This window comes from Homo sapiens, chromosome 20, assembly GCF_000001405.40.
Source record: "Homo sapiens chromosome 20, GRCh38.p14 Primary Assembly".
NCBI classification, from domain to species: Eukaryota; Metazoa; Chordata; class Mammalia; order Primates; family Hominidae; genus Homo; species Homo sapiens.
Window position 1 is genome coordinate 20,188,874 of NC_000020.11, and position 18,852 is coordinate 20,207,725.

Below are 18,852 nucleotides of genomic sequence, written 5' to 3' on the forward strand. Positions count from 1 at the left end.
GGCCTTTCCCTAAGTTAATACCACCTTGCTTCTAAGATCAGAGATTGGCTATGCCTGTTTTTGAACTCTACATAAATGGAATCACACCGTTTGTTTTCTGATATCAAGTTTCTTTTGCTCAGCAATGTTTGTAAGAGTCATCCATATTATAGCATGAGGTATTTCATGGCATGAATATACCACCATTTATTTCTTCATTCTACTGTTGAGGTCTTTCAGGGAGTTCCAGTTATTTGCTCTTTTGGAAAAAAACCTTTTAGTTAATTTTTAAGTCATCAGGAGGGAGACGCCAAACACCTAAACATAATGTCATATACACAAATGTTTACTATTTATAAAGGCATCAGAGTAAATTGAAATAAAACTTCCCTTCAGCACATGGTTTGCTTTGGTTTGTCTTGCACTCTTTTAGTTCTTCATTTTTTGCTCCTTCCCTCCTGGCCCTCTAAGTGGTATGAGGTCAAGTCCTGGTTCTCAAAGTATGGTCTAAGGAACCTTGGGGGTCTCTGAAACATGAATTTTCTGGGAGTCTGCAAGGTAAAAACTGTTTTATTCCTTTTCCACTGTGTTGAGATCTGTACTTACGACGCATAAGTACATATGTACTTATGATCTGTACTTATGTACTTATGGCATTGGGTGAAACCAATGCCACCTCAGAGTAGGTCACGGAAGTGTCAGCAAACGTCCTAGTGGTCCTGGTGTTCTTCACCGTCATCCCAGTAACTGCAGAAAGAGCAAACCACAGTGGAATATCCCTGCACACCTATCAGAATGACTAAAACAAAATAGCGATGCCACTAGCCGCTAAATGCTGGCAAGGATGTGGGGAAACTGGATCTCTAGTGTTGCTGGTGGGAAAGTAGAATGGTGTGGCCACTCTGGAAAATATTTTGGCTGTTTATTTTTTTATTTTTATTTATTTATTTGTTTATTTTGAGACAGAGTCTCACTCTTGTTGCCCAGGCTGGAGTGCGATGGCGCGACCTTGGCTCACTGCAACCTCCGCCTCCCGGGTTCAAGGGATTCTCCTGCCTCAGCCTCCTGAGTAGCTGGGATTACACGTGCCTGCCTGTAATTTTTGAATTTTTAGTAGAGATGGGGTTTCACCATATTGGCCAGGCTGGTCTCGAACTCCTGGCCTCAGGTGATCTGCCTGCCTCAGCCTCTCAAAGTGCTGGGATTACAGGCGTGAGCCACCGTGCCCAGCATTGACTGTTTATTTAAAAACTAAAACTGCAACTATCTTATGGCCTAACATTTGCACTTGTGGGCATTTGATCCAGAGAAATGAAGAGTTTACACTAATGTTCATAGCAGCTATTGTCAGCAAAGATATCCTTCAACAGATGAATGGTTAAACACACTGTGGCACATCATGTCATGGAATACTACTCAGCAGTGAAAGGAATGAACTCTTGATACATGCCTTGGCTTGGATAAATCTCCAGAGTATTATACTGAGTGGGGAAAAAAGCCAACCCCTACAGGTTGTATCCTCTAGCGTTCCATTTGTATGATACTTTGAAGTGACAAGATTTTAGAAATGGAGAACAGGTTATCTGATGCCAGAGGTTAAGGATGCGGGGAGGGTGGGGACAGAGGGGGCAACTCAAGGGATGTTGTGGTATTAGAACTGTTCAATATTCTGACTATAGTGGTGGATACATAAACCTATAGAGGTGATGAAATCATGTGAAACTTCATACACCACACACACACACACCCCCACAATTGTATCAATGTTGGTTTCCTGCTTGTAGTATTAGACTATGGTTTTGCAAAATGTTATTATTAAGGGATACTGAACAAAGTGTACAAGAAATTTCTGTTTTATTTCTTACACTGCATGTAAATCTACAAGTATGTCAATTAAAGAGAAAGAAAAGGAAAAGCCAGTTTCACTAAGGAATATCCTTGATGAAGCAGTAAAATTATTAAGTTTATTAAGTCTCAACCCTGAGGCCAGGTATGGTGGCTCACGCGTGCAATCCTAGCACTCTGGGAGCCCAAGGCAGGTGGATTCCTTGAGGCCAGGAGTTCAAGACCATCCTGGGCAACATGGTGTAACCTCATCTCTACTAAAAATACAAAAATTAGCTGAGCATGATGGGGCACGCCTGTAGTCCCAGTTGCTTGGGAGGCTGAGGCGCAAGAATTCCTTGAACCCAGGAGGCTGCAGTGAGCCGAGATCATGCCATTGCACTCCAGCCTGGGCAACAAGAGCAAAACTCCATCTCAAAAAAAATAATAATAATAACAATAATAATAATAATATCTCATAGGGTTGGTGTGAGGATCCGGTGGACATAGGGAAGGCGTTTAACTTACTACCTGGCCAAAAGTAGGTGTTGATAGATGTTTGTTCTGTTGTTATGTGAACGTGGTTAAGACCCACTGTTGCCTGCTTACAAAAACATTCATAGCCATATTTTTAAGGGTCTTAAAATATATGCTTATCTTTTCAGGATGGAACACTGCTGCAGGCATTTGTAGCTGAAGTTGCAGAACAAATAGTTGGTATTGCAGTGATCAGAAATGAAATGGTAAATTGTGAAGTGGATATAAATTTCTTTGATTGTGCCTTGCTATATCATGAATTAGCCCACAGTGCCCCTTTTGGAGTTGTACTTTTACTTATTTAATGTGAATGCCTCCTTTTTCTGATGGATATCATCATCATCTGCCTCTATCCCACTTGAAGGACTTGCAATTCTCCATTTTTTTGCAGTTCAGAATATTTAATATATTACAAAGACCACATGAAAACATTCTCACCCTAAAAACTCAGATAGCTTTCCACCACCTATACATATATTAATATATTCCATATATTAATATGTTCTAAGTATTACTACTGTAGTGATGCATTTATACCTTCCAGCATTCTTCTTTGCACTTTATTACATATATCGTGTGTGTGTGTGTGTCAAATGGAAATGCCATTTTATTTTTTCCCAGTGCACAGCCAGCTATTTCAAAGCATTTATTACTGAATAATCCATTCGTTCCCTTTTGATTTTAAAATGCTGCTTTTACATTTATTAAGTTTCTATATGCCTATGTCTATTTTTAAACTCTGTTCTGTTCCGTGGATTTATCTGTTGATACCTATTGCATTATCATGTGCTTTTATATCTAATAGGGGAGTGTTCTCTCATTTGGTGTCTTCTAAATTTTCTTGTTTTTTGTTCTTGGTTATTTCCTCTCCCAAACCTTGTAATATTTATTATTAATATAATTGTACCTACGTGGATTCTATAGAACAATTTAGGGAGAATTGACATTAAAATATAGAGACTTCCCTATTAGGATCATGGATCATGGCTTTCTATGTTGTTGTTGTTGTTGAACTTTTTGGGTTCTTCAAAAACGTCTTGTGGCTTCTTTCATGTGGTTTTCTTTGCATCGTATTTTGTGCCATATGAGTTTTTGTTTGTCCTGTGGGTCCACTCTCCACCTTTCTCCACCCTGTTCTGTCTCAGGGAGCCTGACTGATGGGCACAGCATTATGGGTACCTTTGCCTTTTGGCTGCCCGTTGGGTTTGGTGGATGGAGAGCCCTGACAGAAGGAGGAGGGGTCAGTGATGTCAGGTGCCTCAGCAGGCTGATTGCCACTGAGTTCCCTGACATTTCAAGGCAGCCTCTTCATGATACTCTTTTGGATTCCTGTAACCAGCCCTCCTCCCGCGCCACCCTCTTAGAGTGGGAGTAGCTTGTAGTTGCTGCTGCACAGTCCCTACTTATCTCCTTACACCTGCCCCATCCTTGTAAATATTACCTTTGTTAAACCGCCCTCCAATTATCCTAATCTGATCATACTGTTTCCTGATGAGACCCTGACCTGACACAGTTCTAGACGTTGATCACTTATTTCTACGTGTTTTGTGATTTCTCTTGGTATTCTGAGTATACACTTTTTCTCATATTTTCTAAATGTTTGTCTTGTGTATGGAAAAGCTACTAGTGTTTGTATTTTGATCTTGTATTCAATCACCTTTATGAAATATCTTTGAGCTTGGAGAGTTTTTCAGCTGATTCTCTTTTCTGCCACAGCCATCACCTCCACCCTATTCTACTGGTCAGACCAGTTAGAGGGCACGCTCAGACACAAGGGGTGGAGGCAGACTTCTCTCGATGGGGGTGTGGCAGAGTCACTTTGCAGAAGAGCATGAGGGATGTGGGATGACAGGTACTGTCCTGGTGGTCATCTTAGGATTCTTTGGATAAGAGAACCTGCTACACCTTCCTTTTCACTATTTATACCTTTAGTCTTTTTCCAGTTTTAGTGTATGGATAGAACAACATTGAGTAGTAGTGTTAATAATAGCTGGCTTTCTGGTGTTCCTGATTTTAATGGAATGATTCTACACTTTCCTTCATTTAGTGTAATCGTGGCTGTAGGTTTCTGATAGATATCCCTTATCAAGTAAGGGAAATTTTCTTCTCTTTCTATCTTATTAAAAGTTTTTATTATGAATGAGTGTTGAATTTTATCAAATGTGTTTTTGACATCGAGATGTTCACATGGCTTTATTTCTTTAATATATTACACACTTTTCTCTTTCTTAGATTTATTGCACTTTTTGATCCAATATTTCTTGGAGTTAGTTAATCTTTTAGAGATGGTGTTGGGTAGTAAGGTCCCTGAGTCTACACAAATATGATAAGTTTTCATTGGTCCTCATACTTGTATACTCATTTGGCTGTGTGTAGAATTCTATTCAAATTATTATAATAATTATTATTATTATTTTGGAAATGGAGTCTTGCTCTATCCCCTAGGCTGGAGTTCAGTGATGTGATCTTGGCTCACTGCAGCCTCTGCCTCCCGGGTTCAAGCGATTCTCCTGCCTCAGCCTCCTGAGTAGCTGGAATTACAGGTGTGCACCACCACGCACGGCTAATTTTTGTATTTTTAGTAGAGATGGGGTTTCACCATGTTGGCCAGTCTGGTCTTGAACTCCTGACTTCAGATGATCTGCCCCCCTCAACCTCCCAAAGTGCTGGGATTACAGGCATCAGCCCCCTGCGCCAGCCTCATTCTAATTATTTCTCATCAGAATGTTGTCTTCCAGTATCCAATGTCATTGATAAAATATAATCTGATACCAACCTGATTCTTGATCCTTTATGAATAAATGTGTGTTTCTTTGCTCTCCTTCTTGAGAATTAAATTTTCTTTTTGTATCTGGAATTCTGAAATTTTGCCAAGAAATATCATGTCTCTTTTGGCAGTTTGTCTTCTATGATTTCATTAATTATTTCTTCTCCTCCATTTTCTCCATTCTTCTTTTCTTAAATTCTTTTTTAGATGGATATTAGATCTTTTGAATTGATTCTTCAGTGTCTCTAAACATATATATGTTACATTTTACTCATCATTTTAGATTTCCTCAATTTTGTCTTCCAAATCTCTAATTCTTCAGTTGTGTTTATTCTATTACCCAAGTATTCTATTGGAATCTTTATTTCAGAGTTCACCTATTTAACTTCCGAGTCTCTTTCTTGTTCTCTTATTGTTCCTTTTTGGTATCAGCTTGTTTATTACATGTAAGATCCTTTTTGATCTCTCTGAGTATACTCTGTAGAATTTTTTTAAAAATTCTCTGCTATTTCCTTAATAATTTGTCTTCTCTGCAGTAAGTTGTATGTTTCTCTATGCTGGTCTTTTTTTATTTGTCAGTTTTCCTCAAAAGTCTGTCCATGTCATGAGTGAAAGATTAAATGATCAATTTGGGTGGCTGGCATGGGTATCCTTGACAGTTGTGCTTGTATGTTTCTCCATGGCATCTCCCCTGTCACTGGTAATGCCACCGCCCCTCTTTTTGATTGGGAGGGATGGCAGTATCTGGCTTCCCCTTGTGTGCTTGAATGGAGTACCAGCCGGCAGGCAGGGACTCCAGGTGACCCAAGGTAAGAAGGTTTCACCTAGTGGTAGGGTTTCCTTCCAGTGTAAAACTGCCTTACTTTTTTGTCCTCCATTATGCTCTCATTACACCAAAAATAATTTTTGTTGTTGTTATTTTAAGGGATTTGGGATGGGAAGAAAATTAGATGCACATGGCCCATCTGCTGTTTTGAGCTAATAACCTCTGTTGGCTCTTTGCTTTTTGTTTTTCAGTGATTTCTCAGCCCTATACTTATCACTCATTTTATTTTATAATGAGAGATGCCTCCTTGGTAATTAAAGAAAAGTCTTATAGTATAAAGGCCATTACAGGGTCAATGCAGATTGAAAGGTTGCCAGAACTGCCCTAGGGTTCCGCCACTGGCCCGGTTACCCTGAGCTCTGTTTCCTCTGTGCTTTGTGACAGAAGCTGGAAAGGCAGGGGACCTCGAGGAGCTTGGCCACAGATGCCACAGTTTTCATGGATTTGCTGGTGCCAGCCTTGCTGATCACAGAACACATCAGGGGCCTTGCATTCTCCAATTTCTGTTCTTGAAAGTAGGCTTTTAAAACAATTTTACTGTGGAAAACAAGGAGAAATATAAGTTGGTGTTTTGCAACCTGCATATATGATTTGATTTTTCCTGCATTTTGGGTGCGTTTACTGCTGCTGTCATCAGAGAGTCACACTCACCTTGGAGTGCTCCCCTCCCCCCACGCTCCTGACAGCATACACTGCTGGGAGGTGACACAGGACAGGCTGGCCCAGGGCACAGTTAGCATGGAGACCTGGGATCCCAGTGCAGTGTGGGGACAGAGGGGGGACCAGAACTGGGCCTGTGGAAACGAGCAGTGTGCCTGATATTTCCTTTACATGGGAAGACACTCATCAGTCCTTTAAATTACCTTCCTCTGTAAAAATATTACACATCAAGGGGGATAGAAGGTTTAAGAAGTGCACAGGGATAAGGCCCAATTACGCAGTTTTATAGCAGGCCAGCCAGCCATACATGTAATCAAAATGTATGATATGGGGCCAGGCATGGTGGCTCACACCTGTAATTCCATCATTTGGGAGGCCGAGACAGGCAGATCACTTGAGGCCAGGAGTTCAAGACCTGCCTGGCCAACATGGTGAAACCCTATCTCTACTAGAATTACAAAAAAATTAGCCAGGCGTGATGGTGGGCGCCTGAAATCCCAGCTACTTGGGAGGCTGAGGTGGGAGGATCTCTTGAACCCAGGAGGTGAAGGTTGCAGTGAGCGAAGATCGCGCCAGTGTATTCCAGCCTGGGTGACAGAGTGATACTGTCTCAAACTAAACAAAACAAAACAAAGTGTGTAACTTGGGGGTGACACATTTCCACACTAACAGGTGAATAGTAATGCATCAGAGAACACCAGTGGCTCTGTTTGCCCGACTCCTGAATTTCCCACAGGCTCCGTCTCTTGTGCTGACTGGCTTGTGCTCACATCGCCTGGCAGTGTCACGGAGCTGCTGTCCTGCCGCTTGGCCAATGGCACAGACTCGGGGCTCTCTGAGTTGATAGCAGCCATGGGTATGGAAGGAGCACATTACAAGCTGTGCTGCCATCCCCCAAAGACAATCCATCAGAACAACTAGCACTCAGGAAACGTAATTTCTAATTTAAAGAATTTACCATGGAGATGAGGTGGCAAATATGGAAGAGAAAAATACGTTTCTTACTATCATACCTAAAGTAATTTTTAAAAGATATTTATCACAAAATGCATGCCGTTTGTTTAAAATGCTTGTAGAAACCATCCCTTCTGTCTCTTCTGTAGGACATTGAGTACATACGGTCCCATTACAACATTGAAGATTTCATCTACTTCAGTCACCACCAGCGCGAAGAACACGGGCACATGCATCACTTTGCCCTCAACCCCATTTTCCGGCACTACACCAAGTTCTTTCTGAAGGAGATCCTGCGTTTAGGCTTTAAATCCTGTCTCTACTACCGTGTTTACCCAAAATCCAGAGAAGGCAAGGTAAGAGAATGGTGCAATTCACTTTCCCAGCAGGTCAACGTTCACAGTGTTGTTGGTGTTGTACGCCGCATTCTATTCATTCCTCTCATGATGGGTTTTGATGATAACATGGGTCTGAATTTCCAATGGCCATATTTAGTTTGGCCTTTTTCATAAACTACAGTGACATTCTGTAGGCTTCGAATTTCTGACACAATCACAACTAATATAATTGGTAGTACAATATGTTGGCTTTTCTATATTGACAAAATAGAGACTGAAAACTGTGCAGAAATGCTCTAAGAGCATGAAGATCTAATAATTTCTTATGATACGTGAGTACAATGCCAACATGATCCTATTCTGTTCCTTCAAGCCAAGAACATTTCAGTGATGAATCCATAGAATAAATTAATTCTATTTTAGAAGACTGGCATGCTATCCCAGCATTCCAAATAAGCACTATACACACCCCTACTAGGTGATGGAGAGAAAGTGCGGAGATGCCTGATGCCGATGTAACCCCATGTAACACTTGCCACATTTGCATGGAGTAATACTGTGGTAATAGACGCGAATCTGATGTGTATACATGGTGTGTATGTGCATGCACAGATAGCAAGTCCTCCATCTTACTTGCATACCTCCCATCCCACTTTAGTGTTCCTCATAGCACTCACCACCAACTGAAGTTATCTATTTTACCATGAACGCAGCCATGCTTTTATCTGTCTTGTTCAAAGCTGTATCCCCATTGCCTAGAAGAGTCACAAACACACACACACACAGAGACACCCCACACACTCTCATGCATTCATGCACATATACCACACTCTCACACACACTCATGAGTTCACACATATACTCACCCCCCTCCCCCACACGCACACACTCACACACTCATATAAGGTGTCTGGTTGTTCCACAGGAAAAGGCCTATTCAAGATAGATTCCCAAGGGTTTTTTTTCCTGAAAATTGGTCTCTCAGTCACTGACAACATTGGTCCTCAACTTGATGTAGACTTGGGGGTGAAGGGATTCAACCACTAGAACAGGTAGAAGTTGTCCCGTAAGATTCCACTCATGAACTCAAACTTTCCCATGTTCTGCCTAGAGTCTTTGACATTGTCTCATCAGCACAAGGGAGCTAAGGGATCTTAAAATGCCTTATTATTAATATGTCTATTTATTAAACAATCTAAAGTGTGTTAGTACATATACACATAACAATAATTTTGCCAGTGTATTTTATTTAACGAAAACCTTTTGGAGAAGTCCAGAAAACCTTTTGGAGAAGTCCAGAGGGAATGGGGAAGAAAGAAGAAAAACAGAAAAGGTTTTGAGTGAGATGTAGACTCTGCTCTAGTTTTTTTTAGTTTTTGTTTTTTCCTGTCAAAATGCAGCACCATGGCAATGAAATGGCCCAGCTTTGAACTCACTGAGATGGGAAGGTAACAGTTCTGCTGGAAAATCCTGGTCCTGCACAGTTTTCTTTTACTTTGCACTTGGCCAAATGCCAGTTTTGTGACCTTCAGGATGTGATATTAAATTCTTGTTTTTATTCATGAAGTTGCCTGGATGTTCTGGGTTAGAGAAAGTCCATTTGCATCCATAATAAAAATAATACCTTGGGCATTTCATTAAATGTTTATACATTTACCTCAATAGTATGAAATTAGGAATATGTTCCACACTGTTGTATGTAGCCTCTAAAAACATGCTTGGAAACAGATTTCTTCTCAGTCTGCCCTTCCAGTTGATTTCACATATTCATTTAAAACAAGTGTATGAAGCAGTTCCAAATAATTTGGGTAAGAATTCCCAAATTCTGCTATAAATCTCCAGTTGACTACAGTAAAGTTGAGCTTTTTGGCTCACATTATGGGGATGGTTTTCTCTGTATCCCTCTGGTCAGGGCATGTATTAAGAGCTCTTCCAGGCATAAAAACAGGGTGCTGGCTAGGGTTCTGTTTTTCAGTTTGCGAAGTCACGGTCTGAAGTCCAGTGGTGAAGGATTTTAGAAAACCATTTTAGAAGCTCTTAGAAGGGCCGGGGCTATTTTTAGAACTGCAAAAAAGTCATAGGTAAACCATCTATTTATTAAAATGCATCTACAGTTGTTTTTCTGTCTTTGCTTTCCAGTCTAAATTCAATAAATGTATCATTAAAAGTTTTGATTTTACAGTCTAACTCTTCAGATTTAAATGGTTACGATGTCCTTAGTTCATTTCACCAAAACCCCTAAGATTTCATAAATGTGACAGAAATAAAGATCACCATGTTTGGTTTTCTCTGCTAAGTTTTTAAAACTGGATAAAATCAATATTTAAAGCATTCCCCTAAGACATGATTTATCATAGTTCATTTCAATAAGTATAAATCCAACTCATAATTTAGTATTAGTCTAGATGTAAATAATATGATCTACTTCTCCCACACCCACCCCCACTTCCTAGTTTTATCTTTTTGTTCTAAAACAGTTTTTGTTGTTGTTGTTGTTGTTGTTGTTGTTGAACAAAGGTCTGGTTGAAGTCACTGTGAGTGACTTACAAACAGGAGGATTTTCACATCCCTGCTAAGTTACCCCTTGGATGACATTTTTATCTATGTGTCTTCTTAAAGCAGCTTGTGCCAAACATGCAAAGGTTAACAGGATGCAGATAACACAGCTTAATGGGGTCAGATCAAGCTGATGCATGATCACTATGGAGAAGAATATCCTCCCGGGGAAAATACTTGTACTGAAAAATCCCATAAACCAAACCACTTGTTTATCTGTCATTCCCACAGAGATAGTAATGTAATTACTCTCGTAATTATCTTCATTAGTGTCAGGCATTATCTACAATTCATTCCTCTGCTCGAAGAGTATGTTTGTTTATTTGCTGATTTTTTTTTTTCCTCTCTGACTTGGCCGAGTTAAGAGTTTTGTATTTGTAAAGCTGTACGCAGACATCTGTGCTGAGCCTCTCTGACATTCTCTCCCCTAAAATATAGATTGCTGTCTTTCAGTTCCAGAACCCCTACGCCCACTCCCTGACATCTGCCCTTCATTACTTGGTTCCCGTGCGACCACGACGACAGATTGTCTATCCTCTGGAAAAGCTTGGCATAAACGCTCCATCAAAGGCGGTCTCCAAGGATCCGGTGGGTAGCAGGGCGGCAGGCAGGGCGGCGCGGTGCCAGCTCCCGCGGGCCTGGCAGATGGGGTGGCAGTGCTGTCTTCACAGGAGCAGGCTGCTTCTTAATTACAGGGAACCTGGTGCTCATACCCTTACAGGCGGAGCCCCGCGAAGGCTCCCCTGCAGCCCTTTCCCTCAAGTCGTTATTTCCCGGGAAGCCTAAAGCAGTAGCCACAGGACCCTGCAGGGTCATGCCATGAGGATACCTCTCAGGCTGCTGTGTCCCAGGACAAAAGGCCTAGAGTCATCCTCCAGCATATTTTCATTTTCTTTCCCTGTCCTCAAAAGCAGATTCCCCCTTTCAATGATGTTTTGCTTTCAATGCATTAAGTGGTCATTCGCTGTTAGGACAAAGCTGACAGAGAAAACAGAGCTGGCTGCATTCGAGATGTTTGGGCCCCGGGTCCTAAGCTGGTTTGTTTAACTCCCTCCTCCATTTGAATCAAGATGATTAACAGAAGCATATGAGCTGCCCTGGGGCAGCAGGAGTTTCTGACCTTAAAATGAATGGCCAGGGGCCACTTTTATTGGGAGAACAGGAAAAAGGACTGAAATCAAACCTAGATATTCTTTATAAATGGAAATGTACCTGTATACATACACACAGTTTTTTCAATAACTTAATTGGAAAACATAATTTTCTCATGTTGACTGATATGGGCTTGTAGTGTTTGTATACTCTTTCACTTAAGTAAGTAAAAAAAAAAAAAATCCCTCAGTGGGCTAACATTTGTCCTTTGTGAGACAGGAAAAAAGGAAAGTGTAAGTTTAAACTCTCCAAACACTTACCCAAGGAGCTGCCCCTCAGAGCTGGAGACGATGCTGAAATAAACACCTCGCAATACGCTCGGCGCTGCAGGAAGGACATCACCCGACCCAGAGCCTGTCTTACTTGTGCGTGCACTGAGGGATGGGGCGTACCTCCATCAGACCAACTCAGAGGCAGCTTTGCGGGTGCACTGAGGGATGGGGAGGGCACCTCCATCAGACCAACTCAGAGGCAGCTTTGTGTCTTACATTCATCTTTATATTTGTAAAATAACAAAAAATTTATATCATTGTAAATTTATATGTGAGTAGAGACTGTTCATATAAAGCAGGACTTCTCAATCTATCTGTCCTTTTTTTAATTAATGTGCAATTAGTCATGGACTGATAGTTTTGTAAAAAGTGAATTCCTGGGAAAACAAGATTAGAAAGCAAAGACAGACAAAATTCTTTTATTATTAGATTTAACAGACATAGCATTACTCTGCTGGTTTGCTATAAAAGCTTCTGAATGCTTCTCTCGGTCTCTCTTACTCATATCTTCATAGACTTGTAATAGTTTGCACATGGGCACCTGTTCCAGAACACAGATTGAGTGGCACTGGAATGCCCACGCACTCAGCACCCAGCTGCAATGATTTGCAACTCCTTAGCTAATTTTGGATGATCTGTGCCCCCACCACTTCCCCTTTCTCCTATATCATTTTGAAGCAAACTCCAGATTCATATCATTTTATCTGAAGGTCACAGGCATATTCTTAAGTAGCAGGGTCCACAGCACTGGAGATGAGACGTGCCTAGCCCACCTGGAAGACATTTGGGATGGGCCACCATGTGGTCTGTTTGCATGTGAAGATCCTGGGAACAGACTGCTTTGGAAAGAGAGCCAACACCCAGAAGTTTGGTGCAAAGACAGTGTCTTGGGGTCAGAGACAGTGGCTACATGCTGTCTCCACCACTGAAACACAGTTTCCACAGAGGCAAACTGATCTCTGGAGAAGGCGCTGGGCATAGAAGTACATGGATGTGCCAGGCGTACAACCTTGCAGCTTCCGTATCAGATCAGGGTCAGGATGAGAGATGCTGACCTTCTGCAGTCAGTGCTGACACTTATACTTCAGTGGCAGCCCACGGCTCCTGCACCTTCAGCCAGCCCTCTGGCAGCGTGGGTGGCCTGGCTGGAGCTGGAGGGAGGAGTCCAGAGCTGCTGCGTGGATATCAGGAAGCATCGTTTTTATGAATATGAAGCAGTTCCACACCTGCCCCCTCCCTCCCACCCTACTGTGAGAATTTTCAGTTAGGTGACTTTGAGGTGAGTTGGAGCTCTAGGTGGGGAGAAAGCCAGAGAGAACATTTTATTTCATTTAAAATTATCTTATTACTGCTTCCCAGGTTGCTATGATCCGAAACCATTGCTTACATTGAGTAACCTTTTCCATGTTTATCTCAGTATGCTGTGCCCCTCACCCCTGAGCCCTGGTGTATTTCAGCACAAAGCCAAGATGTATTGTTGAAACCCAGGGTCCAGGAAGACAGCCACTTAGCAAATGGGTGGGAGGATTCTAACACAGATGCCTGCTACCTGCTGCTCGTGCTATTGTGCTTATTTCACAGGTGAATTCTGACTGTTTAAGAAGCACTTTTATTGCTACTCATTGTACTCAAGCTTCAGAAAATTGTAATGGAGATTTAGATTTAGTAAACAAGATTCAGTGAAAAATTTTAGACATATTAAAAGTTTAATCACAGGATTATTTATCGAGACCATAATCCCCATGGAATGGGCCTCGGTATTAAAAAGTTAAAATGCTAAATTATATTATTAAAATTATTTTTCTCTTTTTAACATTTTAGACAGTTTTAATGTTTTAGAGTGATTATCTGACACAAGTTGAGCCAAGTAGAATATTTTTAGGAGGAATCTCAGTATAGCCCTCAAGACATTGTTTTCTTAGTAGAGCAATAGCATTGCAGTAGCAAACTGTGCAAGGCTGAGCAACTGTCATTACCAAATGAATGAATTTTCCCTTTAGGTTTCACATCTCCCACCGCCCCCCCGCCACAACCCCTCCCAGTGCATCAAGCTTTATATGAGACCCTCAGCTCCCTCACCATGTCCATATCATTTCTCTTGCTGGCCACTCGTCTTTCATACCTTTTATCCTATTTAAAGCATCTTAGAGTGACCATCCAGTCCCTACCTTTCACCTAGGAAGCCAATCTTCAAGGGAACAGATCACTCCAGGCATGAGTAATGGGATAGAAAGCATTTCATCTCGGTAGGTTGCCAATTTGAATCTGGCACAAGGAAGCAGTGATTGAAATTCATCACTGCATGGCAGGGAAATATGCCCTCGCTCCCACCCCAAGGCCTTCCTAATTCCTGCCTGGTTTGGACGATCAGTGTCCCGGCCACAACACCTTCCCCGTCGTTTCTATTAATTGACAGCCTACCCCGCAGCAGGTCATAAAAAAGAGCCTAGAAAACATAAATGATTTTCATCACACATTTCAGAATCAGGCCTCAAAGATTCATAGTAATGTCTCCACAGTCAACCAGTGTGAATGCATGGGTAAGAGAGAGGGCTTTTTCCTGACCAAGACCGTAATTGACATCATAGACCTGAAAGATTCTTTTCTGAGCTTGAATGAGCCATCTTGGCCTGTGCTTTTACATTAGGAGAGTTACTCTCATGGAAGTTTTTATTAGATGACTCGTCAGGGCCTGCCTGCATAAGAATTATTATTTTTTACAAAATTATTTTATTTCTTTAATTTTTAGTTTTTGTTGGTACACAGTAGGTATCGATGTTTATAGGGTACATGAGATATTTTGATACAGGCATGCAATGAGTAATAATCACATCATGTAAAATGGGGTATCCATCCATCCCCTCAAGTATTTATCCTGAATGAGTATTATGATCAGGAAAACACTCAAAATTGGGCTGAATTAATTTAGTGGTTATATTGATTAAAGACAGCCGAACAAGCTGCCTTACACTTATTTTGAGGGTGGGTCTACATACAAACCTGTTTTCTTTCCTTTCTGCCTTTTATAGGGATTCAGATATGACTGTGTCACCATCCATGCCTGCATGGAGCTTCCAGTCTAGTTTCAGTATTAAATGGGGGTAGATGAGGGCTTGTACTGGCCTCCTAGGTGACACGAGCCCAAACTCAGGAGAAATAGCCACACTGGGCTCAGACCTGTTTCTGCAGAATTCCTGGAGAGGGAATGTGTTTGAGAAAAAGGCACTGCTTCCTTTCCAGGAATGGGAGTTTACACAACTGTTATTTGTCATATTACACTCCAGAAAACCTGCTTTGAACTTAAAGAGCCCCTCCCATTGCCTCAATGTCAATAGTTGCTCCCCATCATCCACTTCAGTCACTTCAGCTCTTCATCTTGGTTTATTGTGTTCATAGAATTGTAGCGTGAACTCACCTCTCTCTCAGTTATTTTCAGAACTAAATCAACCCTTCATCCTTCCTGAGCAATCATACTTTCAGAGTGATCTTGTTTTTTTCTGGTTGCTTATTAATGATGGTCTGATTAAATCTCAACTAATGAATTCTTTGGAGGCCTCCATTTGGATTCTGTGCATTCATTTCTCCACATTTTTTCTTTGTCCTTCTACAAAGAAAAATGACGGCTTATGGAGCCCCTCCCCCTCAGAGCTAAGTGATGGCCCTGCTTTTTCCTGGTATGTGATCTCTCAGGAAGATGTCACTCACTGGCATTCAGTTACCCTTTGAATTGCCCCTTTTCATCTGGCTGTTCTTCCCAGTCCAGCTATAATTACCATCTGATGGACTGTTACTGGATACTGTTTCACTTGTGCATCTGCTGCCCTAGGAAATTGCATTATTCTCCCAGCACCTGCTAGATTTTCCCCAGCTTTATTGTTTCCCAGCCCCTTCCTTAAACTTGGTAACTTTCACCGCCAGTGGTTAGACTTCCCTTGGTTATATTTGTGGTCGGGGTATGTGGTGTGTTTTTAGCTCTTTGGCCATCACCTTGGTAGAGGTTTCTAAAAAGGCAGACCTGTATTTTTTCAGCATCATATATGCTCTAATCATTATTAATGTGACGATGGGAGGCATATTTTCTTGAAATGAAATTAACCCACTTTAAATCATCGCCATGAGTCCAGTTTGCTGCTTCAAGCCACTTCCCAGCCAGTTCCTATGTGTTTACACTATCTATGAGAAGTGCATTTCCTTCTACTTATAGTGAACTCTTTTCTCTCAGATTCTTGGGATCATTTACATAAGTTCCTTTATGGGCTTTCTTCTTTCTACAATACAAGTTCTGTGGCCATTTCTTTCCAATTCTCTGAACATTGTCTAGTTTAATATAATATGTTATATATTATATAAGTGTCTATTATATGAATAGTATATAAATATTCACCAGAAGGACTTATAAACCAGTGTTTATTCTCATTACTGTCCTAATTTTTCGCTCTTAGAAAGGTTACAAGGTAATAAAAACAACTACTGTTGCATTACTGTTACTTCCTGAGCTCTTGCTTAAAGAATTCCCATGGAGTTTCTCATCTAGTCCTCTCATCAGCACATGTAAACAGTTACTGCAATTACCATCCTCAGTGTACCTAAAGCAAACAGGCTTGCCAGGAGAGCAGGTAAATAACTTGTCCAAAGGCAAATTAATTGACAGAGTTTCAAACCCAGGCAGTTGGTTGCCAAAACTCCTGTCTTTAACTACTACAGATATACTTTCCTACCTAAAGGCTGAAGTACTAATATGACTCATGATAGGAAAACCAAACTACAGAAAAGGAATATGGCTTGATACAGATCTTGTTGAACCTCACAAGTCCTTGGCACCAGGTACTTAACAAAAAGGTGACCCACAGACGATTGCATTTCTCCCAGTGCAGTTTGAATTTTCCTCTTGGCTGAATCATCCACTCTTGGGTTTGATCTGGTACCAGCCTGACCCTGTCTGACCTGGGCTAGGAAGGAACAGACATGGGTCCAGGTTGGTGTGCTGGCAGGTTTTGGACACCTGCTGATTCAGGCTGTCTGCAGTTAGCTCTCTGCTGTATGGGTTTGTTGTTGCAAACCTTTGTAATTTTTGTTGTTACAAAAAACCTTTGTTGTTACAAAATTATGGTGGCAGCTGCTGGGAAAGGAAGAAAAAAATTATGATCCCATATGGAGGCTACATTATACATTTCCCAAGATTCAGTTCCATGTTGGATGTGGTTTCAGAACCCAAGTAAGTGCCCATCAGATGAGTAACTACAGGTTTATTTTTTGGGGTGGGGGTTGGGTGGAGGGAAGAGACAGGATGTGAATTACTGGCATGATCAACAAGCTGTGGAAATTGTTGAGTAACTGGGCAGTGGTCAGGTGGCAAGATGAGGCTGTAAGGATATGATAGAGAAGAAACTGGGAAGAGTAACTTCTTAACATCTTAGTGTTGTCAGGAATCGATGCTACATCTTATCCTCATTTTCTAGGACAGATATTTATAGGACAGTCTCTCTCTTCCCACAGCCATGTCTTTAACAGCTTCACATTGAGATATAAATCATACATATACACCATACAATTCACCCACTTAAACCATACAATTCAAAGGTTTTTAGTATATTCTCAGAGTTGAACAACCATCACCACTATCTAATTTTAGAACATTTTCATCACCTGCAAAAGGAACCTGTACCCATTGGCAGTCACTTCCTCTCTTTCCCAGCCCTCTGCTCTCAGCCCTAGACAACCAGTAGTCTACTTAATCTCTCTATGAACTTACCTACTCTGGACATTTCATACAAGTTGCAACATATACTATGCGGTATTTTGTAATTGGCTTCTTAGCATGTTTCATCCACGTTGTAGCGTGTGTATCTGTACTTTATCTCTTTTTTATTGTTGACTATCCTATTGTGTGGATAATACTATATTTTATTTTTTCATGCATGAGTTGATGACATTTGAGTTATTTCCACTATTTGGCTATGATGGAAATGTTGCTATGAAAATTTGCACACAGGTTTTTGGGTATATATATATACCATATATATATATATGTTTTCATTTGGGGGGCGGTGTCTATACCTACAAGTGGGACTGCTGGGTCACATGGTAACTCTATGTTTAATATTTTGAGGAACTGCCAAACTATTTTCCAAAGTGACTGCATTATTTTGCATTCTTTCATTCTTAGATCAGATTCGGCATTCTGGCTAATAATTGATGAAGTGCTGGTCAAATCAAGGCCATTGAAGGGCAATGTCTCAACTGTTCTTTCAGTTTCAGAAGTAGAGTTTCCACCACTCCAAGAGAGCTTCATACACACATTTGAGACTACACTGGTAATACTGTTTCAGTTCTTTTGAAAGCAGAGATTTTTCTAAAATAAAACCTCTGTTAGCTTTCCTGCTTCACCCTCTCTAACTCAGCAGCCTCTTGTGGTCCTGTGTGGACATCTAAGAGAGCTCAGGTAGCAAACAAGATGCCCATCCAAATGCAGGAGGAAAATGGGGGACTTTCTGTTTTTTTAAAGCCACCAGCAGGTTCTTTGTTTGACCCACCTTTAGTAATATTATTGCTGTTAAAAAGAGCTGCCACTGCTTCCAACAGAAAAGAAAAAATTCTAAGGATTTCCTGGATGCTGATCGGGTTCTTGCCACAACCCAGTAGGGGGAAAAAAAATGCATTCTCCTCCCTGCAGAGCCAGGGTAATGAATGCCACAGAGGTCCAGAAGTGCCTCCGGACGCATCAGCTGCCTGCTGCAGAGCTCTGGAAGCCTGCAGCCTAGCAAGGCTCCGGGTGGAGCTGAGCTCCCAGGCAGAAACTGGCCGTGGCAGCTAAGTGGCTTCTTCAGAATCTGCCTTTAGGGAAGAAAGGAATGGCAGCTCCAACGTGAGGCTTTGCTTTGTGTATTTTAAAGTAGCTGGGGATATAAAATGACAAAGAGGACAATTAGAGCTGCAGATACTGACTAGAGAAGTGACATCTTTTCCCCTTGATTAAAAATAAATATG

The 18,852-nt window shown here is 41.3% G+C and overlaps 1 protein-coding gene across 1 annotated transcript in view; it reads left to right on the forward strand.

Annotated features, from left to right (window-relative positions):
• Nucleotides 1-18,852, forward strand: part of CFAP61 (cilia and flagella associated protein 61) — a 308,167-nt gene that overhangs the window by 136,342 nt on the left and 152,973 nt on the right. The window contains exons 15-17 of the mRNA NM_015585.4: nt 2,469-2,546; nt 7,697-7,903; nt 10,895-11,029. Coding sequence (NP_056400.3) covers nt 2,469-2,546; nt 7,697-7,903; nt 10,895-11,029 — 420 coding nt within the window. The remainder of the gene's footprint in view (nt 1-2,468; nt 2,547-7,696; nt 7,904-10,894; nt 11,030-18,852) is intronic.